The 24433-nt window shown below is 46.8% G+C and overlaps 1 protein-coding gene across 1 annotated transcript in view, besides 2 other annotated features; it reads left to right on the top strand.

The window, feature by feature from the left end:
- The window catches only part of ATP9A (ATPase phospholipid transporting 9A (putative)), a 171877-nt gene extending 154404 nt beyond the window's left edge, over positions 1–17473 (top strand). The window contains exons 23-28 of the mRNA NM_006045.3: positions 155–310; positions 3822–3886; positions 5361–5469; positions 6403–6460; positions 8967–9170; positions 12640–17473. Coding sequence (NP_006036.1) covers positions 155–310; positions 3822–3886; positions 5361–5469; positions 6403–6460; positions 8967–9170; positions 12640–12776 — 729 coding nt within the window. The 3' untranslated portion in view covers positions 12777–17473. The remainder of the gene's footprint in view (positions 1–154; positions 311–3821; positions 3887–5360; positions 5470–6402; positions 6461–8966; positions 9171–12639) is intronic.
- Positions 3986–4139: a silencer, noted in NCBI's record as "fragment chr20:50226387-50226540 (GRCh37/hg19 assembly coordinates)". NCBI's record gives its function as "represses an EF-1alpha promoter that drives an FKBP-Casp9 reporter gene in an ReSE screen in phorbol 12-myristate 13-acetate-treated (for megakaryocytic differentiation) K562 erythroleukemia cells {active_cell/tissue: K562(+PMA)}" and the evidence as "EXISTENCE:reporter gene assay evidence [ECO:0000049][PMID:32094911]".
- Positions 4600–5799: an enhancer, noted in NCBI's record as "CDK7 strongly-dependent group 2 enhancer chr20:50224727-50225926 (GRCh37/hg19 assembly coordinates)". NCBI's record gives its function as "activates an origin of replication core promoter dependent on BRD2, BRD4, P300/CBP, MED14 and CDK7 cofactors, with strong dependence on CDK7, by STARR-seq in HCT116 cells {active_cell/tissue: HCT116}" and the evidence as "EXISTENCE:reporter gene assay evidence [ECO:0000049][PMID:35650434]".
- Positions 17474–24433: the final 6960 nt, after the last annotated feature.

Below are 24433 nucleotides of genomic sequence, written 5' to 3'. Positions count from 1 at the left end.
TTGGACCACCAACTGCATATAGCTTGAAACCAAAGAATTTCTTTCTTGAAGTTCTTCAAAGATTTCCTACAATGTCTTGCTTTTTCAGTGAAAGAAAATGTGTTTGCCCTGACCTCTTGTGCTTCTGATGGTGCCTAATTTTATTGGATTTTAGGAAGGAAAACAGGCTTCGTTGGCTGCAGACTTCTCCATCACTCAATTTAAGCATCTTGGCCGGTTGCTTATGGTGCATGGCCGGAACAGCTACAAGCGGTCAGCCGCCCTCAGCCAGTTCGTGATTCACAGGAGCCTCTGTATCAGCACCATGCAGGTGAGTGGACAGCTGGCCCCTCTGCACATGTGCCTGTGGCTATACCATGTAGGTGGGTGGGCAGCTGCTCCCTCTGCACATGTACATGTGGCTATGTAATTATCATGGAAAAAGCCTGGGAATTAGATTATGCTTTGGAGCTGTCACCCCTACCTCGCCAGTTTAAATCCCCCACCTGGCTGCATTCCAGCTGATAGACCTTGAGCCAGTCCCTGAACTTCTTGGTGCTCAAGATTCCTCCCCTGTTAAGCGGTGCTGGTCATTCCTGCCATGTGGTGAGGATGTGTGCGTTAGCAGTGGTGACATCCAGTGCCTGGCATGGGGCAAGTGGAGTGTACATGAGTTATTTTAATTGTGGGTACGTTGTTATAATTTGTTTGCTGGAGTGAAAGACGCAGAGTTAAATGCTGAATGACTATTCAGGCCCTGGTTTTTCACCTTTTGCAGAGGTAAGGGCCATCAGAGAACAACCACTAAAGAAGAATGTACTTTGCTTGTGTGCCTCCTGTACCTTAGGCATCAGGCTAAGTGTTGACAATGCAGTGTCTCACATAAGCCTCACAATAGCCTGAGCCCATTTTACGGATGGGGAGGCTGAGGCTGAATATGGATGAGAAATTTGTGGTGTCCCGCAGGGATTCAGTCAGCTCAGGCAGGTGGACCTCAAAGCCTGCAGTCACAATCTGAGTACCTTCTTGATACACTCGTCATGGAGGGCCTGGGACCGTGTCCACTTGCAGGGGTCAGCATGACACTTGGCACTGAGATTGACTCAGCATCACGGTTCTGTCTTCCAGCAGAGCCTAGTAGGGGAACTGAGTTTAATTATTATGATCACGAATACCCTTGGAAGTTAACATCTTGTTCCCATCTTGCTTTTTCATAAAAGGATTCTAGAGTATATATTTTCTCACCTTCTCTCTCACAAACTTCTTCAAAATCTGTCATCATAGGCCAGGCGCAGTGGCTCATGCCTGTAATCCCAGCACATTGGGAGGCCGAGGTGGGCAGATCGCCTCAGGCCAGGAGTTCAAGACCAGTCTGGTGAACGTGGTGAAATCCTGTCTCTACTAAAAATACAAAAATTAGCTGGACATGGTGGCATGCACCTATAATCCCAGCTACTTGGGAGGCTAAGGCACGAGAATCACTTGAATCTGGGAAGTGGAGGTTGCAGTGAGCTGAGATTGCGCCACTGCACTCCAGCCTGGGCAACAGAGTGAGACTCCATCTCAAAAACAACAACAACAAAATTTGCCATCAGTCTGTAGCAATTAAGTGTGGAGTAGAAAGGAGGCCAAAGGAGGGAAAGAAAATATTTTTGGTATTAAAAAGCTATTGATTGTCAATCTTCCTTTTTGGGCATTGAGGTGAAAATGCTCCCAGTTGAGTGGTGAGAATGTAGGTACAGTAGATCCTGGAACTCACGTCTCCTTCTGGCCATACCATTAAGGATCTGTGAGACCTTGAGCAAATAACTTTACTACTCTAGGCCTCGGTCTTCCCACCTGGAAAACGGGGATGATGAGACCCTCCTTGCCCTCGGACAGGGCCACTGTGAAAAACAGAGACGTTTTTAAGGCATCAGTGCTAAGGCATCCTTACCGTGATTAGTAGAAGTGAAATAAGGTAATATGTAAACATCAGGTGATATTTTAATTTGTGAGAATGTTTAATCATACTTGAAAGGCGGTCTGCCTTGTACAATGTATCAGGTAGTGCTGCTTTGGGTACATGAGAATTTTCCGTCCACTGGCTACACCCCAGTTTTTTGGGGGTGATTTTATGTTTTAAATATCTATTGCAATTGTGAGTAGGGGAGCCTGAAAGTGACTTTCATCAAAATGATCTAAACCCAAACAGCTGCTGTGGTTCACCAGACCACATCTGTACTTTTATGTTAACTCACCAATTGAACAGGATAATGCTGTGGCTTTAATGATTGGGAGATTAATCAGCCCGTCCTTGGACTCATACACAAAAGCTGGCCGGGATGAGCTGACTTCTTCAAAAACTGGATGTTACTGTTAACATTGATGTAGAAAAAGAATTCCAGGATGAGGCATTGTTCTTTGTGCTAAAGAAAATGCCTTTAACCCCTGTCCACTGTGCTGAAAATGGCCGAGAGCAAGTCCCAGTTAGAATTGCACCGGGACATGAGTCTGTCAGAGAACACAGTGTTTTTATTTTTCCCAAAGTGCTCTTGTCGAGATGAAGACTTTGTGGTTAGGATGACCCTTTTAGAGGAAGGGGCTCCTGATACTGGTCTGGAAAATAAACAACAGATTCTTGACATTTTTACAACCATCCTTCCTAAGCAGCGGCACAGCCTGGGTGAAAAGTCACTGGAAAAGTGGCTTTTCCGGCGCAGCCAGGGCGAACTGGGGCTTCCTGTGGCCATGGCGCTCAGGATCACCTGCGCTCTGAGCTCTGTGCCGAGAAAGCACGTGTTTCTTACATGCTTTCTCTCTGTGTCCATTGAAGGTGCTCTGGGGAGCTAGCCCTGGTCTGATGCTATTTCTAATGACTAGGGTATCTCTGCCTTGCTTTCTTCTGCTTTCTAAAAGCTTTCAGGCAGCATTTGTCTCTGGCCTTCCTTCAGCTTTATATGAATGGATATCAGCTTGGAGACCGTGTTTCCTCTGTTAGCCCATAGAGGTCCAGAGATGGAGCTAACAGAGCTTCAAGCCTGATTGGATCTCCCCAGCCTATTCATCATTACCAGCAGCTAATATTTTCCAAAGCAGGAAGCAGACATTTCCGCGAGGGTTTGTAAATATCTTCATTGCTTTTGTCTAATTGCAAAAATAATCTGTCACCATGCTCTTTTCAAAAATTTCCCCAAATACCGAAACATGTAATATAAGAAGTGAAGCCTTTTCTGCCATCCCAGCCCCCGTAGACACTTCAGAGGCTCTTTTTCTGTATGTGTTTCCATACCTACGGCACTTTGGTTAGCAGCGTGCATGCCTACAGAGGTGAGGATTCCGAGCTGTTTAGAAGTGTGGCCACAGAGCTGTGGCCACAGCTGGGCTTGAGTCCCATAGGGCTGTTTACCTGCTCAGCCTCCCCTTCTGTAAAGTGTGGGTGATAGTAGGGCTTGATCCTGTGGGCTGCTCTGGAGATCAGCTGTGCTCATGTACAAAGCATTCCTGGGTCCTGGAACTTAATAAATATTCACAACAGGCTGAGTAGACCCTGGAGCTGTGATACATCACCCTACCCGGGAATGATTCCTAGATTTGCTGCTTAGGAACTGTGTGGGCTTGGGCAAGCCACGTACCCTCTCTATGCCTCACTTTCTGCTTTGCATAATGAGGATGATGAGAATCGTACCTACTTCATAGGGTTGTTGTTGATGTTGTGAGAATGAAATGAGCAAATCCATGTAAAGTACCTTACAGCAGTGCCGGCGCGGGTGTTATGTAAGTATCAGGTGTTATTTTTATTCTGTAAATGTAAGGGATTTTGTCATGACTTTTGGTGACATCCTCCTCTCTCCTTGGCACAGGCTGTCTTTTCCTCCGTGTTTTACTTTGCCTCCGTCCCTCTCTATCAAGGATTCCTCATCATTGGGTAAGGAAATCCTGCCAAGGAATTAATTGTTTACAAAACCTTCTTCAAATGCTGCAACAGAGAGAAGAAACGTGGTGGAAAAATTCTTGGGTTCCCAAGCCACATTGGATTCCCAGCCCCAGCGAATGCAGGCCCAGCACCATGGTTTAGAACCTCCTTCAATTAACAAGGTTTTGAGCTGTTAAGCCCTTAACCAGATGGAGGAAGTGGAGTTGGAGATGTGTGTGGTGTGTTGCACTTTGCCATTTGTACCTGGTCTTGAAAAAATACTCCAGAGTTATCAGTTGATTGAGGAGAGCAAGGTGGAAGGTTTGCAGACTTGGTGATTTCACTGGGGTCTTAATAAAAAGGGGTGGGGGATCTGAAAAATGCCCTCCTGGCCTGAACTGAGCCCAGTAGAAGTCCCATCCTTGGAGCTCCAGGGAGGGCCAGAGTCCACTGCCTCGGGGATGTGCAAGTAACAGAGCTTGGCTGCTGTGCCACAGTGACAGAGATGGTGTCACTTGGGCCTTTGCAGCCTGCAAACCCACCCCCATTACTGACCTGGAACTTCAGGATGATCCTTCTGACCTTTTCAGAGAATGTGCTCAGTCTCTGAATCACCCAGGTAGGTGGAGTTTGGTTACCGAGTGCCCTAGATACAGACACATGCAGCTGAGGCCACTTCTGGTTATGAGGAGACGGCGGGTGCGGGAAGGTCAGCTGCGCTCTGGAGAGTCTCACAGAGTCCGCTTTCCATCCTACTGTGTTGGCTGATGAGTTCAGCCTGAGAGGAGGCACTAGAATTCTGCCTGCTTCTAACTGGAAAAGCGGGCTGTCTTTCGTCGGGTTCTGGAAGAGTACAAGAACATTACAGAATATAGTCAGGGGTTCCCTGAGCTGTGCGCCGTGCGACCTTCCGTGGTCTGGTCCCATCTTTCCCGTGGGTCCTCATTTCCTCTTCCGTCGCCCTCAGCCCCAGCCCCACTGGCCTTATGGCTGTTCTTCAGACATGACAGCCACTCCCGCCTCAGTGCCTTTGCACTGGTGGTTCCTTCTCCCTGGAATGCTCTTCCTCCTGGGATTGGCTTGGCTGGCCCTCACCTTTTGTGGGTGTTCACTCAAATGTTCTGTTCCTCAGCCTCTAAAATTGTACCATCACCCCCTACACACACACACACACACACACACACACACACGTCTTATTTCCTCTACCCCATTATATTTTTCTCTTTAGCACTTCTCTAACACACATAGAGTTTACCTAATTTATTTGTTTATTGACTCGCTGACCGGGATGAAAGCTCTTCAGGGCAGACATTTTTGTCCATTTTTGCTCATGGGTTTCTGGTGCTTACAGCCAGCCCCGGAGCATAATAGACAAGCAGTAAATATTTGTTAGAGGCATGGTTGGGACTTGGGTGCCGGAGGCTGGCACAGCACATAGCTCCTATCGCGTCAGCCAGGTCTTACCTATGGCGGTTTTCTCTCCCAGGTACTCCACAATTTACACCATGTTTCCTGTGTTTTCTCTGGTCCTGGACAAAGATGTCAAATCGGAAGTTGCCATGCTGTATCCTGAGCTCTACAAGGATCTTCTCAAGGTTCTGTTAGCTTTTCAGTCCCTCCTTCCTCCTTTCCTCCTTTGCTTTTCCCTTCCTTCCCTCCCTCCCTGCTTTTTTTCTTTGAATTTATTTCACACAGACCCTCCAATTCTGATTTGAACACACTTGAACTGGTAGCTTTTTTACTTTTGGGGGGAAGGTGTGGGAGTTTACATTTTTTCTTAAAGCAGTAATATATTCACTGGTATAAAGAACGTGAAAAAGTACAGTAATAGATAAACTGAAAACAAGCCAACTCACGACTTGCAAAAAGCCCCTGACAGTTCCGCTTTGCAGTTGCAACTTAACGTTTGCTCCCAGAGATGTTCTTGTGTACAGTTCCAAAAAGTGTGTGTGGTGGCGTGTGCCTAGGCAGGTGTATAATTTTATTTGTCTTCAGGGTTTTTTACCCAAGGGAAGGTTTATTCCCATGTAATGTTAATTTTAATGTTAATTCTTTTTTTTTTTTTTTTTGAGACTAATTCTCACTTTGTCACCCACGCTGGAGTGTAGTGGCTCGATCTCGGCTCACTACAACATCCACCTCCTGGGTTCAAGCGATTCTCCTGCTTCAGCCTCCCGAGTAGCTGGGATTACAGGCGTGCACCACCATGCCTGGCTAATTTTTGTATTTTTAGTAAAGAGGAGGTTTCACCATGTTGGCCAGGCTGGTCTCAAACTCCTGACCTCAAGTGATCCACTTGCCTCAGCCTTCCAAAGTGCTGGGATTACAGGTGTGAGCCACCATGCCTGGCCAATTCTTTTTTTAAAGAAATAATTCCTCCAATGTGTTCAGATGTGTGCGAGCCACTTTATTGATGAAGACAGATGGGTTGCCTTATCTCGTTAGCGGGAGAATAACGTGAAAGCTGATGGCATGCTGCGTGAGCCCCCCGCGAAACCGGCTCTAACCTTTCTCTGTCTCTCATTCAGGGACGGCCGTTGTCCTACAAGACATTCTTAATATGGGTTTTGATTAGCATCTATCAAGGTAAGGATGAGTGGAGACACCTGTTTGTCTTGTGCTCTGGTACTGACTCAGGGTGTCCCCTTCTTGCCTGTAGAACAAGAAGAGAAGAAACGAATCTGAAATAGCAGGAAGGAGGGTGGCAGTGGGACCCAGGGGAGACCCTGCTCACCCTGTATAAGGACTTGAACATCAGACATGCACAGTGCTGCTGTGTGAGAAATGAGGTAGTGAAGCCAGAGGAAGGCAGTGGACAGTAATCAAAGCCTGTGGGGCTGCTCCACTCATGAGGCAAAAAGCAGATGCTTTCTGGGATGTTCTGAAACCTTTTCTGAGAGTCAGGTCAAGTCGTAGTTTTGGAAAAACATGTTTACCTCAGTGGCCTCCAGAGGGGGGTCTTCCCAGACTGTGGAGGCGTTGTAAGATGACCTGTTGGAATATAAGAAGAAAATAGCAAAACTTCTGTTTGTATTTATTTTTCCTAACTCTTTTAAATTTACATATATATATTTATTTATTTATATATTTTTGAGACACAGGGCAAAGCCACCATGCCCAGAATCCTTTTTTAGTATTTCTATTTTTATGTATGTTTTGTAGTGCACATAATAGATTTTATATACTTATAAAATATATTTTATATAATATGTAGAAACAGAGTGAGACCCTGGGTGGCGGAGGGTCTCACTCTGTTGCCCAGGCTGGAGTTCAGTGGAGCAATCACGGCTCGCCGTAGCCTCGACCTCCCCAGGCTCAGGTGATCCCCCTACCTCAGCCTTCTGAGTCTGGGACCACAGGTGTACACCACCACCAAATCAGTTTCCAAATCAGTTCATTTCTTCCCAATGGACTGTGAGCCACGAGTCCCTGCAGGTCCAGCAAGATGACCTCATGCTGTGCTGTGGATCCTGTCGGGTGCTGACACAGGCTTTAATTCCTGTCTAGAAACCTGTTTCTAGTTCAGCATCTTAGACTACAGGTGTACACCACCACACCCGGCTAATTTTTGTATTTTTTGTAGAGATGAGGTCTCACCATGTTGTGCAGGCTGATCTCAAACTCCTGGACTCAAGCAATTCTCTTGCCTCAGCCTCACAAAGTGTTGGGATTACAGGCATGAGCCACTGTGCCCGGAATCCTCACTCTTTTTTAGTATTTCCATTTTTATGTATGTTTTGTAGTACATATAATATACATGTGAAATGATCCTAATATTTCTATATATCTGGACAGGTACACATATATAACTTACAAATAAACATGTGTATTTGGGGATTATTATTATTACTATTCTGAGATGGAGTTTTGCTCTTTTGTCCAGGCTGGAGTGCAGTGGCGCCATTTTGGCTCACTGCAACCTCCGCCTTATGGTTTCAAGCGATTCTCCGGCCTCAGCCTCCCGAATAACTGGGATTACAGGCGCCCACCTAATTTTAGTATTTTTAGTAGAGGCGGGGGTTTCACCATGTTGGCCAGGCTGGTCTCGAACTCCTGACCTTGTGATCCGCCCACCTTGGCCTCCCAAAGTGTTGGGATTACAGGCGTAAGCCACCGCGACTGGCTGGGGTTTATTATTTTTTTAAAAAATAAATTTACTGTTCATGTCTCCTATTGGGGTTTATTCTTTTTTTTTTTTTTGTAACAGAGTCTTGCTGTATCACCCAGGCTGGAGTGCAGTGGCACGATCTCGGCTTACTGCAACTTCCACCTCCCAGGTTTAAGAAATTCTCGTGCCTCAGCCTCCCGAGTAGCTGGGACTACAGGCATGCGCTTCCACGTCCAGCTAATTTTTGTATTTCTAGTAGAGACAGGGTTTCGCCATGGTGGCTAGTCTGGTCTTGAACTCCTGGCCTCCAGTGATCCGCCCGCCTCAGCCTCCCAAAGTGCTGATTACAGGTGTGAGTCACGACATCATTTTATTTTTTATTTTTTTGAGACAGGGGCTCACTCTGTCACCCAGGCTGGAGTGCAGTGGTACAATCTCAGCTCACTGTAACCTCCATCTCCCAGGCTCAAGTGATCCTCCCACCTCAGCCTCCTGAGTAGCTGGGACTACAGGTGCATGCCACCATGCCTGGCTAATTTTTGTATTTTTTGTAGAGACGGGCTTTCACCTTGTTGCCCAAGCTGGTCTCAGACTCCTGAGCTCAAGCAATCCACCCACCTTGGCCTCCCAAATTGTGGGTTTTCAGGCCTGAGCCCCCGCGCCTGGCCGCGACTCCATCATTTTAAATATTATATTTAACTTTCTATTTCTTTCATCAACTCTAGATACTCCCCTCCCTGCCTTACTTCCTTTTTTCTCCCTTTTTCTCACTTTGTAGTTAAAGATTATTTATCCTACAAGGTCAAAGAGGAAAATCAGAAAACCATAGGTTCAGACCTGCATAAAGCACCAGTCATTAACCTCATGTAACAAGTGATGCCTTTCATGTCTAAATGAAAACTGCGGAAAGGAGCCAGGTGTAGGCGAGCAGCGCACGGCTTTCGCAGGGAGGGTGAGGGGAATACCCTTCTCTGGTGTTTGCAGGGAGCACCATCATGTACGGGGCGCTGCTGCTGTTTGAGTCGGAGTTCGTGCACATCGTGGCCATCTCCTTCACCTCGCTGATCCTCACCGAGCTGCTCATGGTGGCGCTGACCATCCAGACCTGGCACTGGCTCATGACAGTGGCGGAGCTGCTCAGCCTGGCCTGCTACATCGCCTCCCTGGTGTTCTTACACGAGTTCATCGGTAAGACCCCTGAATGCTTAAACCCCGTCCGTCACCCCCAGTGAATCTGGCCCAGAGGTCTCACTGCCGTATGAAGGAAGGGGGGTTCCCAGCGCTCGGCCTGGGCTCTTCCTCCAGCAGTCCTTCCCGCTCAGCTGTCCACGTTTTCTTAACAGGTGTTCTCTAGGGACAGGTGGTAGTTGTGCCTCAGGGTGTGAAATTGAGGACAGAGGGCGTGATTGCAGTAGACAGTGTTTTTGTTTTTCTTTTTGAGTCGGAGTCTTGCTCTGTCACCTTTTTTGGGCCACAAAATCTTTTTGTTCCCATGAAATCTTAATCTGAAGTCCAATCTATGAAACTGATAAAAGGGGACTTGTGATAGCAAAGTGGCAGTGCTGGGAGGTGCCGAGCCCCAGAACCTTGCCCGTGCAGCCCTGCCTTGCTGCTGTGTCCTGATAGAGCTCCTGAGGGACTCCAGGGATCTCAGAATACAATCTGCTGCTCCTCACAGCAAACCAAGTGCTGAAGGTACTCGCCAGTTCCGTAGACGTGGGAGCACCTGCCGTGTGCCAGGATTATGGTGGCAGATGAGGTGGACGGGCTCGCCAGGGAGCTGCCCTTCTCGTTGGGAACACACGATAAACACACATTAAGTGAGTGTGAGCACAGGAATATCAGATGTGATCAAAGTTACCAAGAAAGAAAAATGGGGTGAGGTGCTAGACGCCCAGGCACACCCCAAATAAAAAATGTTATGGAGGCCGGGCACAATGGCTCACACCTGTAATCCCAGCATTTTGGGAGGCAGAGGCGGGTGGATCACGAGGTCAGGAGTTTGAGACCGGTCTGGTCAACATGGTGAAACCCCATCTCTACTAAAAATACAAAAATCAGCAGGGCGTGGTGGCACACACCTGTAGTCCCAGCTACTTGGGTGGCTGAGGCAGAAGAATCGCCTGAACCCGGGAGGCGAAGGTTGCAGTGAGCTGAGATCACGCCACTGCACTCTAGCCTGGGCGACAGAGTAAGACTCCATTTCTAAATAAATAAATAAATAAATAAATAATAAAAAATGTTATGGGAATGTAGAGATGGGGGAGTGTCAGCACCATCCTAATGTGGGGTGGTGGCAGATTTCTCTGACCTCAGTAGTGATTCCAGGTACTCTTGGGCTTGTCCAGCGTCAGCCACTGTCTCTAGATGGACAAGCCTGGTTTCATCACTCTTCCATGCTGACCTCACTTGCTTTGCCATATCAGTTAATTTCTTCCCAATTGATTGAGCCACAAGTCCCTGCAGGGCCACCAAGATGACCCCATGCTATGCTACGGACCCCATCGGGTGCTGACACGGGCTTTAATTCCTGTCTAGAAACCTGTTTCTAGTTCAACTAGAACTTGCAACACGGGCACGGTTCAGATGATCCAGCATTTTCTGTGTTGTGCTGTGGATAGATTCTGAACTCTAATCTTGGTTTCCCCCGCACGGGGCAAACTCAAGCCGCTATGGCTTTGGAACCTCAGGGCCAGGGGTCATCCTGAAAGTCTAGCTGGTTTAGCAGACAGTCCTCTTTACACCTCTTTCCTCCTCAGTAGGAGCATTTAATTTTCTGTCTGTGTTATTCAAACAAAAAACCCTCAAGAGTGATACTGTTTCTCCTTTATCAGCTGGGGGAGCAGGGCCCGGAGGCTGCTTCTCTGCTAAGAAGCTCATGTGTGTTCAGGATTGCAGGATAGACTCTCTCTGGGGGAAACTTTCAGTTAATGACAACCCCCTCACGCCCCATCCTCCGTGGGAAACCTGCAGGGCCCAGGCTCTCTAGCAATGGCCCATCCCTTGCTCCTTTACCTCAGGCCTTCTCAGTGGGGGTGGTGTGGACCCCACCGCCTGGGGAACAAACAGTGGTCTTTGGTGGGGTGTGAACAAACCCTAACCTTTTACGTATAAAGGAGATGTATATATAATATTATAAACAGATACACAGTATACCTGTGACATTAACATGTCATGGAGGTGGTCAATTAGGAGAAGAAGAAAAGTCTAAAAATGTTCCTTAAGGGGCAATAACAACAAAAAGGCAGAGAAACTCGACCTTACCCTGGAAGCATCTTTGATCGCGGCTCTTTTGCCAGCTTCCAAAGCTCCTTAGGAAGGTTTTAGTAAAGGTAAAAGAAACATCCCCTGAAAAGTAAAGGTTTCACAGTTGCAGCCCCAGTTTCTAGAAAGGATTTGTGAGCATTTACTGTGCGCTCCAGGAACTAAAGGAGCATCCCTGTGAACAGTGGAGTTTTAAAGCAGTTTCACCCTTGTCACTAGTCTCTAGAAAGCGTTTTGTGAGACCTAGTATGTGCTCAAAGGCTTGGGCCTGAGGTGGTCACAGAGATGTGGCCCCTGCTCAGGAAGCTCAGCTTGTTTGTGATAGGGACACACCACAGGACCGGGTCAGAGGTGTAGGAAAACCACAGGGTGAGTTGAGCCTTGGGCCTGGCACTTAGTAGGTGCTGCCTCAGTGGCAGCTGCATTTCAGCATCCTGTGCTCAGAAAGTGGAGAAGGGGCTTATTCTGGCTTCTGCTATATTGAAAGCCACAAACTGTCACTCCTCTCTTAAGAAAACCTCATAACCGGGTTTATAATCCTGCAGCAGGAAAGGCAGTACGCCCGCCCCCCCCACCTTCCATCAGAGTCCCTGAGGGTCAGCTTAAGCCTTTCTCTGACAAGGGGGTCTGAACACTTTGCACCATGACCCAGACTCATCCTGTGGCTTTCTGCGACCATCACTGGAAGCAGAGGGTGCATTTGAATGTCATTTTCTGCTCGCCAGTGGCCGGGACTTAGAAAGACTCTCCAACTGTTAGACAACACCAAATCAAAAGCATCTCTGAGTTTTCTTCCCCTGTAATTTTCTTTCCTTCTTTTTTTCTCTTTTTTTTGAGACAGTGTCTTATTCTGTTGCCCAGGGTGGAGTGCGGTGGTGCAATGTTGGCTCACTGCAGTCTCAAGCTCCCCGGGCTCAGATGATCCTCCCACCTCAGCCTCCTGAACAGCTGGGACTATAGGCATGTACCACCATGCCTGGCTAGTTTTTGTATTTTTTGTAGAGACAGGGTTTTGCTGTGTTGCCCAAGCTGGTCTCAAACTCCTGGGTTCAATTCTTCTGCCCGCCTTGGCCTCCCAGAGTGCTGGGATTAAGGCATGAGCCACTGCATCTGGTGGCCCCCATAGTTTTCTTCTCCTGGGTGTTAAAAGTAGCATTTCACTGTCAGGAAGCTACAGAAGAGAGAGCGAGGAAAATCAAGCTGCGGCGCTGTGTGCTCTTAGCCATGGTACCTTCCCTTACAGTCCATGGAGAAAGAGGGCCAATGCCAGGAGGCTGTGGGTTTGTGACGGGAGATGACTTTCCCTTTGATAGTTGTGACGCCTGTTTCTGGACCCCATGCACCTTCCGGAATATTCCTGCCTGCTCACTGCCGTCTTCCCCTTTCCTTGCAGATGTGTACTTCATCGCCACCTTGTCATTCTTGTGGAAAGTCTCCGTCATCACTCTGGTCAGCTGCCTCCCCCTCTATGTCCTCAAGTACCTGCGAAGACGGTTCTCTCCCCCCAGCTACTCAAAGCTCACATCATAGGCCGTGCGTTCGCTGGAGGGGGCCCTGGTCTTGGCGCTTCCCTGATGGACAGAGCTCAAGTTCCATTTATATTAACCGCCACCTGTGGATTTTGCAGTAATTGCTAACACATGCAGTTTTAATGGGAAGTGGCTCTGCGCCTAAACGGAGTCCTAACGCTGCATCAACGGGAGGGAGGGTCCTGAAAGAGACCCATCTGGGCCTGTCTGAACCCCTCGTTCTTCATGTTTAGGTGAATATGAATATGTTAAAGCTGGTGGCTCAGCTGGGAGATTTATATGGGTCACTGTGCGAGCTTCCTTATGACTTGAATTTTGTTGTCACATGATAAAAGTTTCTGTGTAGCTGAAGGTTGTAGAAGGCTTGTGTGTGTGTGTGTGTGTGTGTGTGTGTGTGTGTGTGTTTTTAAAGAGTCCTAATGTGTATGTACTCTTTATGTCTTTCTTGCTCTTACAAAGAGGTGTCAGAAAAATAGAAAGCTCTTGGTGTCGGTTTGGGAGGAAAAGACAGTGACATTTGGTAAAAAGTTATCCACACAATAATCTCCATTCGGAAATGCTCAGTATCGTCTCCAGCCAGCCCTGCTTATCCAGGTTACACTGGATTCCTGGGATCGTAACCAGTAAATGAGAGGAGAGGGAGAGAGAGTGTCCTAAGTCCAATCTGTTATCCTTGATCTGATTCAGCATCCATAGTGTGTGAGTTAACTTCACCTGCCACCTCGTAAAAGAATTTCAGAGGTGTGATCCCGCTTTATTGGGACCTGGTAACAATCACAAAGCCAGTGGCTGTTTGAGAAGGACCTCAGACATTTTCAGCAGAGTTGTTTTAGCAGGAAACGTGCCACTGAATGGCCCCTAAATGTGTCGACAGTGTGATAAGAGACTCAACTAATTCTTTAGGCAACATGGCAGATGTGACTCAGATCCTCCAAGACCAAAGCGGAAAGGTCAGGGGGCTGGGACTCTTCTCTTCCATAGAAGCCTGTTTCCTGTTAGGAGGCATAATGGAAGATGACCCCACAAAGGCAGAGGCATCTTTCGGAACAACACTGGTGGCAGCTTTCAGAACAAGGAACCCCTGGTGGGAGGACGCCCAAGCTACAGCGTTGGGATCTGGGATCTGTTCCACTGCCGGCAGATTTCAAGGGGAACTTGCTGAAAGGCAGCCAGTGGTGAAGATTTCTCCCCTCCCAGGATGGACTACATGCCGGCATGTTTCTTATAAAGCTGTGGCTGCTTGTTTCAGAGGAAGGGAGTTTGCAGTCGCGGGACGTGGTAGAGCAAGGCATTCTTGGGTTTTCAAGTTGCTTCTTGCAGAAGCCACATATGCATGCCATAAGGGTTAAGTTGGTGGATCTTTAAGAGCCAAGTGTGGTTGAGATCTTGGATTTGCGTTTACTTCTTGATGAATACATATCCTTCAAACCCTCTGCCTGGCGCTACTTCTGTGTGCTTCAGAGATGTACATCACAGCCTGGTTTCTGATGCCTACTAACTCCTGCTCTTGGAGAGCTGGAGACACGAGGATCAGATAGTCCCTTGCCTTTGGAGCACTCTTGATAAGCTTTTGTATTTTGTGTTGTCCTTTTAAAATGTTCTAGAATGACTTTACGTTGCAGGTACTGGTTAATTGGCTGTTGACACCACATCTATTTTGTCTTATGATTCTGCAGTTTTGCAGTACTTTTCTCTATCTGATTCAGCCATTTCTGCCAGAGGGAAAAGGTCGGCAGAAAAGATGTATTGAGTGAATAGTTAAGGATAGGATCTTTGTCCAAAAATTTCAGAAAGATTGAGCAAATCTGACGTATTCATTGAGTGAGTTTCTGTGTTTTCAAAGGTGGAGGAGAAATTTGTGCTGGAAGTTTTTAAGCCTCCGTTTTCTTGGAAATCAGTCTGTAACACTGGCAAGTCTTAAGATAGTCCCATTTAGACTTTGCAGATGCTGAACCTGGCTCTGTAACGCTGGGAAGTCTTAAGATAGTCCTGTTTAGACTTTGCAAACCCTGTACCTGGCTTTGCTCGGAGATTCGGGATGCTGGCTCCTGCAGGCAGGGCGTGTGGGAGCCTCGTCAGAAAGTTTTAGAGGTTTCCAGCAGAAGCAGAATGAAGATGGTCTCCCTGGCCTTTTCCTTAATTCTCAATTTTGATTGAGGTGCACAAGTTGACTTTTAAAGCCAACGCTTAAGATACTGATTGACATCTTCAAGGGAGAATGCTCCCAGGAGGGGCTGAAGAAGCCATAGTTGGAAGTGGAAGGTACTCGTCAGTGTTCTCCACAAACCTTTTTACTCTGTTGTCTCAGCCGCACTGGGGCGGAGGCGGTCAAGGGTGAGAAGTACCGACACTCAAGTGCAAACTGCCACGTCGTTGGCCCATCCCATCAGTGGGCAGCTGGCTGACGCCATTCACTGGACGGTCCCTGAACACCTAGGAATGCACACACCGTGCTTCTCAGACACTGGAGACGCAAAGGCAGGAGGATGCAGTCCGGTGAGAGGACACGATCTTTACCTGCACAATCAGACTGTAAGCCCAGCAGAGAACCCCAGGGGCGCCTGGGTACTTCTCGGAGGTCATCTTAGTTGTGGTGGGGAAGACAAAGAAATAAGCAAACAAGAAACTAGAGTTACTATACAAGAAACTCTCCTGAGTTTGTAAACCTTAAGCATAAGGATTCAGTTGACCTTTTTCTTGGTTCATCAATCTGGAAAGAACTTACATAAAGCGCCATTGACACTGTCACCTGGGAGCTCCATGGGCCGTAAGTCTTTGACAGCCAATTTAATTTGAGGTCAGAGGGCCTTGAGGTACACAGTCAGCACTGTTTGAACACTTTTCCTGAAAGCAAAACTCACAGCTCCCTGCGCCCTCTGACAACACTAGCTATTTCTGCCAGAGTAAGAACTTCTATTACTATTTTATTATTGTTCATATGTCTTTTGATGATGGTTGTGTGACAGGGGGAAGCAGGATCTATTTGGTTTCTTCCCCTCCCCCCACCCCTTCCTTTTTGTCTCTCTTTTTTTTTCTCTAAGAAAATCACCAGACTAGTTTTTCCATCTTGAGTAATTTCTTATGTGGGACAGTTTTGATCCTCATTTTGAAAGCATGCGTGTGCACATGTGTGTTGCCTGTGGTGCCAGGTGAGACAGGTGGCACTAACTCCAGCTGCTTGGAAGGCATCCCAAGGGCGCATCTTAAAGTTGGAGCAGACCTCCCTTTTCCAGCCCCTGGGGCCATTAGACCACGTGCTGGAACTAGCATTGTAAAATTCCCATCCCAGTTCCACTCCCCTGAAGTGAAACCCTTTTTTTTTTGTGACAGTAAATCTTAAAAATCATTGTCTCTTTATGAACATTTCCTCAGTTTCTTCTCTGCTGAAAATGTAAGCCATGCTACTTTTTAATGTATTTTGAATTTTGTGCTCATTGGAAATTGATATGCTAATGCCTCCCCCACCCCCCGCCAGACTTTTCTTTTTATACTTTGTCTTGTTTTTACTGGGGTAGGCTGGGCATGCGTGCGTGCCTTTAGGGCAGCATTTTAAACCTTTGCCAAAATTGCAAATGGGACATGTACATTCTTCTGCTCCATCCTACTTAAACACCTATCAGCTATTTTTATCTTTAACCTTTTCTGTATGTTTGAAGTGTGTGGGGGGTGTGTGTGTGTGTGAAAGAGCGAGAGAATGATGTCATCTAAAGTTTTTTGAAGAATTATTTGGTTTTCATTGCATTAAAATTCTATCACTCCCAGCTTTGTTTTCATTTAAAAAAATATACAAAGAGCTTTGTAAATACAACACATTTTATTTCTCCCCCTTCTTTTAATGTACAGCTTTTTTGCCACTTATATATACTTAAAATATTCCCATGAATTATGTCCAGTTCTTCTTGGAAAAAAATTTGGTTTTGAATGAACCTGCAAAGCATCCTGCAGCGTGAGCAGCTCCTCCACCTGGAGCTCCGAAGCATCTTCTCAGGCCAAAGCGGCATTACCCGTGAATCTGTCTTCTCCGCCACAGCATGGTTTGAGGCGCAGTCTGTTAATATAGCTGGGCCATGTCAGTGACTGTTGTGTTTGTGGGGTCAGGTGGGGGGCATGGTATTTGCAAAAAAAACAAATTATGGCTAATTTATTATTTTGTTGCAGTGGGGTTAACTGTAAACTCATGTAAGAGTCTGTGATTTCCTCATTGGTTGATCTCTCTCTCTGTAATCCTCATTGCAAATTTTCACCAGGACAGCGTTTTTTGATTAGAGGGGAGCTCTGGCACAGTATGCTTTAATTTAGCAGGAACTTCCAGATGATTTAAATTCTCGATGCTGTGATGACACACATATGATCTTTCGTGTTTCTGAGCGACTCTACTTTCATTGTTTGCCAGCGTGGCTCGTTGCTGTTGCCCAATAAAGCTTGTGTACGTTCTGCCTTGGGGGATTATTTTAATTTGTACAGAAACATGAATTCTGGTATCAAAATGAGGACTTTTTATTATAACGCTCCTATTTTTTCTTTATTTCATGGTACATGAAATGTAAAGAAAACTCTTTCCAGTTCAGAAAATTATTTTGATTTTGGCAAAAAAAACCCCAAATCAATGCATGTTATTTATTATTTTGTACTATTGTCCATCCCAGACGTGTCAGAATTTCAAAAGGTGATAGATATAAATGGAAAATAAGATGAAAACCATAAGCTTCATATTGTATTTCTATACACGGTCCTCGATGACTGGAATCTTTTTTTTTTTTTTTTATCGAGGGATGGAACATATAGGAACAGTCAGTTAAGTTTTAGGCAGAAAAAATTTTTAAGGCCCGGCGCAGTGGCTCATGTCTGTAATCCCAGCTTTGGGAGACCAAGGCAGGAGGATTGCTTGAGCCCAGAGTTTGAGACCAGCCTGGGTAACGTGGTGAAACTCATGTACAAAAAATACAAGAAAACGAGCTGGGTGTACTGGCTCAAGCCTGTGGTCCCAGCGACTTGGGAAGCTGAGGCGGAACAATCACCTGAGCCTCGGAGGTCGAGGCTGCAGTGAGTCGTGATTGTGCCACTGCACTCCTGCCTGGGCAACAGAGCAAGACTCCGTCTCAAAACAAAACAAAACAAAAAAAGCTTTTGTGTAGGAAGTAGTTGAAATCAATTGGGTGATTTTTGTCCCTTGGGGGACACGTGGCGGTATGAAGACCTTTTCAGTTGTTACAACTCGGGGAAGAGGAGTGCTACAAGCAAGAGATGCTGCCGAACACCCTGTGATTCACAGGGTGGCCCCCACAACAGAGCCCAAAGTGTCAAAAGTGCCAACATTGAGAAACCCTAATTATTTTTTTTCGAGGTGGAGTCTTGCCCTGTTATCTAGGCTGCAATGCAGTGGTGCAATCTTGGCTCACTGCAACCTCCGCCTCCCAGGTTCAGGCGATTCTCCTGCCTCAGCCTTCTGAGTAGCTGGGCCTGCCACCACGCCCGGTTAAGTTTTGTATCTTTAGTAGAGACGGGGTTTCACCATGTTGGCCAGGCTGGTCTCGAACTCCAGGCCTCAGGTGATCTGCCTGCCTCAGCCTCCCAAAGTGCTGGGATTACAGGCATGAGCCCATACGCCCAGCCAGAGAAACCCTAATTTAATTGGCACGTGTCAGCTGTACCATTTGTCTGTCTGTATTTGTAAAAGGGCCCGGAGGTATAAGCTCGTGTGTCTCAGGAAGCAAGTTATGCCTCCGCCTACTATACCAAATACTATACCAAATGGTGTAATTAGTGGCTGTCTGCAGTGTGAGCTGCTGGTTCCCTCTTTTTGGTTCTCAATGGAAAGGGCCATCCTCAGTATATAGATTAGAAAGATAATTGTAACTTAGTTGTGTTATCTCATGACAGCAGCAAAAGGAAGGTATGTGGTTTCAAAGGTAGGGACCGACCATGCTTTCCCTTAAACGTGTGCTATCCCTGCACGACCTTAAGCCTCTGCATTTGCCTGCAGTGAACTTCCGTCCATGTGCGGACACTCCTCCGCCGGAGCCGCTAGGGGGAACTTGAGGACTGAAAGACATTGCTGTTTCCTGTTTTCCACAACCAGCCGGACCCCACGTGCCCAACTGCCCTGAGTTTCAAGACTGTGCTTTCATAGCTTCAGAATTTATTTCATGGCCAGAGGCTCCGTGAAAAACAGACATTTCTTTTCATGTTGTTGACCAGAATATTTTGCTGGACTTAGTTAAAAAAAAAAAAAAGGAAAAAAAAAAGGCAGGGAGGGTGAGAGATGAATATTTATTTGCTCTTGGATATTTGCATTTTTGAATAATTGGCAAGTAGGAAGCTTTGCCAATTCACTGTTCAGTCTAATAAGGTTTTGAGACGAAATGTACCAACACCCCAAGTACTTTTAGTGTTTTTGTTATGAAACTTTTCAGGGTGACATGAAGCCCTGTGGTATTTGTGAGGAGGTCTATAAATGATGGATTTGCTCACCTCAAAATAGAACTGTAGTCGCTCCAAATTTTCCAGAAGTGGGAGCACAGTGACAGAATTCATTCAGGACTTGCTAATTTCCTACTTTAAATGGGTTACATAACAGAACCGGTCCCGCCTTCGCGCCTCTCAAAACTACCCATGAAGTGATGGTGAAATGTATCATTAAAAGCTAGAAATAGCTCTGCTAAACTCTGGGAAAAAGATGAATTTTTTTCTGATCTCCCTCTCCCCACCCCCCTTTTTTCACCCAAACATTGCATAATGTTAAAAAAGTCAAATCTTTCCGTGGGATTTAATTTCATTTTCCATGTGGCTGTGGTCGGAGGGGTAACTCAAGCACTTTGGGGGCTGGTGGATTTTTGGAGGATCACGCATTCCCGGATCAGTTTGCATCCAAAGCCTTAGCCGAGAAATACACCCAATCCTGGGGTTTCTCCCCATCCCTCCTGCCCCCCTTTTGTGGATGAGTTATCTATAACATAGCATCTTTTCAGAAAGCCTGCCTTCTTGCAGGAATGCCCAAACAAAGCCACCCTCCACTTTCCATGTTGACGTTTTGATTTTGAAATGGATTCCCCCTGAAATTTGGGGTAACTGAGTCACATGTGAAGTCATCGGCCCCACAACCTATGCTTGATACCAAGCCAGGGCTCATTTCTTAGAATTCAGCCAGCAGGTTCTGTTTGCTTACATTAAGAACTTGGTGTTCTAAGCCTGTGGTGTTTGTTTTCAAGAGATTTAAAAGAAATACATTTTTTTTCTTTGATCAGATCAGGTCCAGATAAGCCCAGGACTATTTTTTATTTCCTTTGAGAAAGATTGCAGAGTCCAGAAGGAATGGAAAAAGTGTTGGGGGATGGGTAGGAGATGTGCAGAATATGCTGACATTTTTATTCCTTCATTGATCAAATATTTGCTGAGCACTTCCTATGTGTTAGGCACTGTTCTTGGGGCTGGAGGCGTGGCAGGGAACCAGACAAGCGTAGTGTCTGCCCTCATAGTGATTACACTCTGTGTGTGTGTGTGTGTATGTGTGTGAAAGACAATAAACAGATTAAGACTAACATCAGGTGGAGAGAAAGCTTCCTAAGATAAAGCAGCCTAAGGGTTAGGCAGAGGATGACAACCAGGTAGGAATAAAGGTGGGGAAAGTGCTGGGAGTCAGAGATGGGCCCACTGGAGCAGAGGGCTGCAGGATGAGAAGGAGGGTGCTGTGCACCTCTGGACCCTGTAAGAGCAGAAGCTGGTAGTGATGCCCCCCAACCTATCCATGTGGGTGCCAGCCACACCGTCCCCCTCAATTTTCTCATGCCTTGTGGGGTTTTTTTTTTTAATCTCAAGGAAATTCTGCTTTCTATTCCATTAGTGGATTTAATGTAAAAAAAAAAGTTTTTAATGATTGGCCAATTCTATTCTCCAAGATCCCCAAGTAAATGGATTCTTTTTTTTTTTTTTTTTTTTGAGACAGAGTCTTGCATTGTCACCCAGGCTGGAGTGCAGTGGCACGATCTTGGGTCACTGCAACCTCTGCCTCCCAGGTTCAAGCAATTCTCCTGCTTCAACCTCCCGAGTAGCTGGGATTACAGGCACGTGCCACCACACCTGGCTAATTTTGGTATTTTTAGTAGAGGCGGGGTTTCACCATGTTGGCCAGGCTGGTCTCAAACTCCTGATCTCAAGTGATCTGCCTGCCTTGGCCTCCCGAAGTGTTGGAATTACAGGCATGAGCCACCGTGCCCAGCCAGTCAATGGATTCTTGAGGAGTCCCTTTGCTTTCTCCTTGGGCTGCCCCATGAGGGGTATGTTCTCTAGTCAGGGATGCCCAGGCCAGCCTAGCATACTGGGGGGAGGTTCATTTCTAACTTTGAACAATGGCTAAGGCCACAGGACCCTGGGCAAGTTTGCAAAGGCAGAGCGTCATTCAGAGAGATCTGGGGAAGTGACATTGTGGTTGCAGTGTGTGCAAAGGCCCCGGGGTAGGAAAGGCTGGGCATGTCGGAGGGGCACAGGGCTGGAGTGCTGAGACCGAGGGGGTGGGGCATGGAGGAGGTGAGGTCAGGGAGATAGGGAGGGCCTGCAGACCTTGGCATTCGGACTAAAGAGTCCGTTGCAGAACGAGCAAGCATTATTAAAGTTAGCCCTCTACACTGAACCATGTTCGAGGGCCCCTTTCACTCCTTCTCTTCTACCCCGCCTCACCGACCCTTTCCCACCTGTTCTCATTTCTGCGTCTATGTCCGAGGAGGCTCAGGTGCAACCCTTTCCATTGGAACCAACCCACTCCCATGCCCAGTGGTTCTGCATGACTTTATTGACATAACCACACTAGTAAATAAAGGAGAGAAGAAGCCAGTCCTTGGATGAAGTTTCCTCTTGCTTTTCCAGCGAATGATACGATGGGTCTCTGTTCAGCCCTGTAGCCTGGGGTGCTTTTGGCAGAGGTGCCTTTTCCTTCGACAGTCCTGGAAAGCAGGCTGCATAAACCAGCTGCCTAGAACTGGGAGGTGAGTGCGGAGGAAGAATAGGTAGAGAAAACTTAACTGGCTCATGTTCTTCGAAGCTGCCACATTTCCCGAATATGCCCACTTGGGTCAGATTTCGAAGGCGAAGCCTTTTGCAGTCATGAACTGCGGGAGCCCAGGCTGTGTTCAAATTCCTCCGGAAGAAAGAAAGAATAAACGAGAACAGGCTGTGGAAAAGAATGTAGTTAGTGTCTTAAAGATGGCCAAATATTCATTCTCATTTGTCCTTTTATATGAAACAGATTTTTAAAAAGGCAATTGGAGTAGCTAATGACATCCAGAACCCCGTTGATTCGAGTGGGGCTGGGGGTGGGGGCTTAAATTGGCCCAAACAGCTAATCAGGCCGAAAGAAAGAGGTGAGTTGATTACCCTGGAAATTGCACAGGAATTCTTCAAAGATGTGGCCAATAATTAGAGTTTAAGATGCTACTCTTTATGCACATAACTTAGCATAATTTTATTAGGCAGCTCATCACCAACAGAATTAGTGAAAATCAGGCCAGAAAAAATCTGAGAGCCAGGCTTATGCAGACGTGGAGGCTTTTGCTCTAAAATGGTCTGCTCACGCTTGGGGAAGACCCCAAGAGAAAGCACTACCTTTCTTCTGGGCCCTGAGCGGGTTGGGAGTGGAAATGAATCAGAGCCATTTCAGGGGGCTGTGCTGGAGTTGGGGACAATGTGGCCTGGACCTAGCTGGGACGGACACAGACTTGGTTTGAACACCAGTTTCCCCACTTACTGGTGAGTGAGATGGGGCCAATTCCTTAAATTCTGACCTCCCATTCCTTGCCTGTTTTTGGGAGCAGGAACCCCATTTGTGAGGATCAGCCATGAGGCTGATGGCATTGGAAGCAGTGCAGATATAGAAACAGTAGCTGTCATTATCACTCGAGGCTGCTGCTGATGGAGGGAGGCCTGGTCTCCACCAAGCTCAAAAGCCCTTCATCAGAATGGGTTTATGCTACTGTTTCCCCCAAACACTGCAGTCACCTGGCTGGCTAGAGTTCTTAGAAGATTTCAAAGTTTGGGGGCAGAGGCAATGTCCAACCTTGAATCTTTTTTTTTTTTTTTTTTTTTGAGACAGAGTCTCACTCTGTAGTCCAGATGCCCAGGCTGGTGTGCAGTAGCGAGATCTTGGCTCACTGCAACCTCTGCCTCCCGGGGTTAAGAGATTCTTGTGCCTCAGCCTCCCAAATAGGTGGAACTACAGGTGTGTGCCAGCATATCTGGCTAATTTTTGTATACTTAGTAGAGATGAGGTTTCACCATGTTGGCCAGGCTGGTCTCGATTGCCTGACCTCAGGTGATCCACCTGCCTCGGCCTCCCAAAGTGCTGGGATTACAGGTGTGAGCCACTGCACCTGGCCTCGACCTTGAATCTCTCTGTGCACCTTTCATGGATTTGCAAACTTGCCCAGGGTCCTGTGGCCCCAGCCGTGGTTCTCAGTTGGAGGTGAACCTGCCTCCAGTATGCTGGGCTGGCCTGGGCATCCCTGACTGGAGAATGTACCTGTCATGGGGCAGGGGACATACAGACAAAGGAGAAGGCAAAGGGACTCCTCAAGAATCCATTTCCTCAGGGATCTGGAAGGGAGAATGAAAGTCATAGAATTGGCCAATCATTAAAAACTTCTCTTTTTACATTAAAACAAACTTATTAATATAATAGAAAGCAGAATTTACTTGTGTTAAAAAAATATAGCTAAGGTATGCGGGGCTTAATACCTAGGTGATTGGTTGATAGGTGCAGCAAACCACCATGGCACACGTTTACTTATGAAACAAACTTGCACGTCCTGCACATGTATCCCAGAACTTAAAATTCAATTAAAAAAAAAAAAACACACAAGGCATGAGATAATTGAGGGGGAGGAGGTGGCTGGTGCCCATGTGGATGGGCGGCGGCGGGGCTTCACTATTGGCTTCTGCTCATAGGATCCAGAGGTGCAGCTTGAGAGGAACTGGCTTATCCTTAGCAAGCCAGGCGTCTGGCCCATGGTTAGGGCTCAGTAAACCTTTGTGACATTTGAGTTGGTTTTAAAAATAATTCTGGTAAAATATACATAGCATACAATTTATTATTTTAAACTTTATTTTTTTTTTGTGATGAGATCTCGCTCTGTTGCCCAGGCTGGAGTAAAGTGGCACAATCATAGCTCACTGTAACCTTGAACTCCTGGGCTTAAGTGATCTTCCTGCCTCAGGACCCTGAGTAACTGGGACTACAGGCCCAAGCCACTGTGCCTGGCTAATTTTTTAATTTTTTTTTTTTTGTAGAGATGGGGTCTTGCTATGTTGCCTAGGCTGGTCTTGAACTCCTGACCTCAAGTGATGCTCTCACCCTGGCCTCCTAAAGTGCTAGGATTACAGGCCATTTCAACTATTTTTTGTTTGTTTGTTTGTTTTGGTTTTTGAGACGGAGTCTGGCTGTGTCGCCCAGGCTGGAGTGCAGTGGTGCGATCCCGGCTCACTGCAACCTCTGCCTCCTGGGTTCAAGCGATTCTCCTGCCTCAGACTCCCAAGTAGCTGGGACTACAGGCATGCGCCACCACACCTGGCTAATTTTTGTACTTTTAGTAGAGATGGGATTTCACCATGTTGGCCAGGCTGGTCTGGAATTCCTGACCTCAGGTGATCTGCTCGCTTCGGCCTCCCAAAGCG

Source organism: Homo sapiens, chromosome 20 (assembly GCF_000001405.40).
Source record: "Homo sapiens chromosome 20, GRCh38.p14 Primary Assembly".
NCBI lineage: Eukaryota > Metazoa > Chordata > Mammalia > Primates > Hominidae > Homo > Homo sapiens.
Note: the sequence above shows the minus strand (reverse complement) of the source record. Positions and strands in the feature narration are given on the sequence as shown.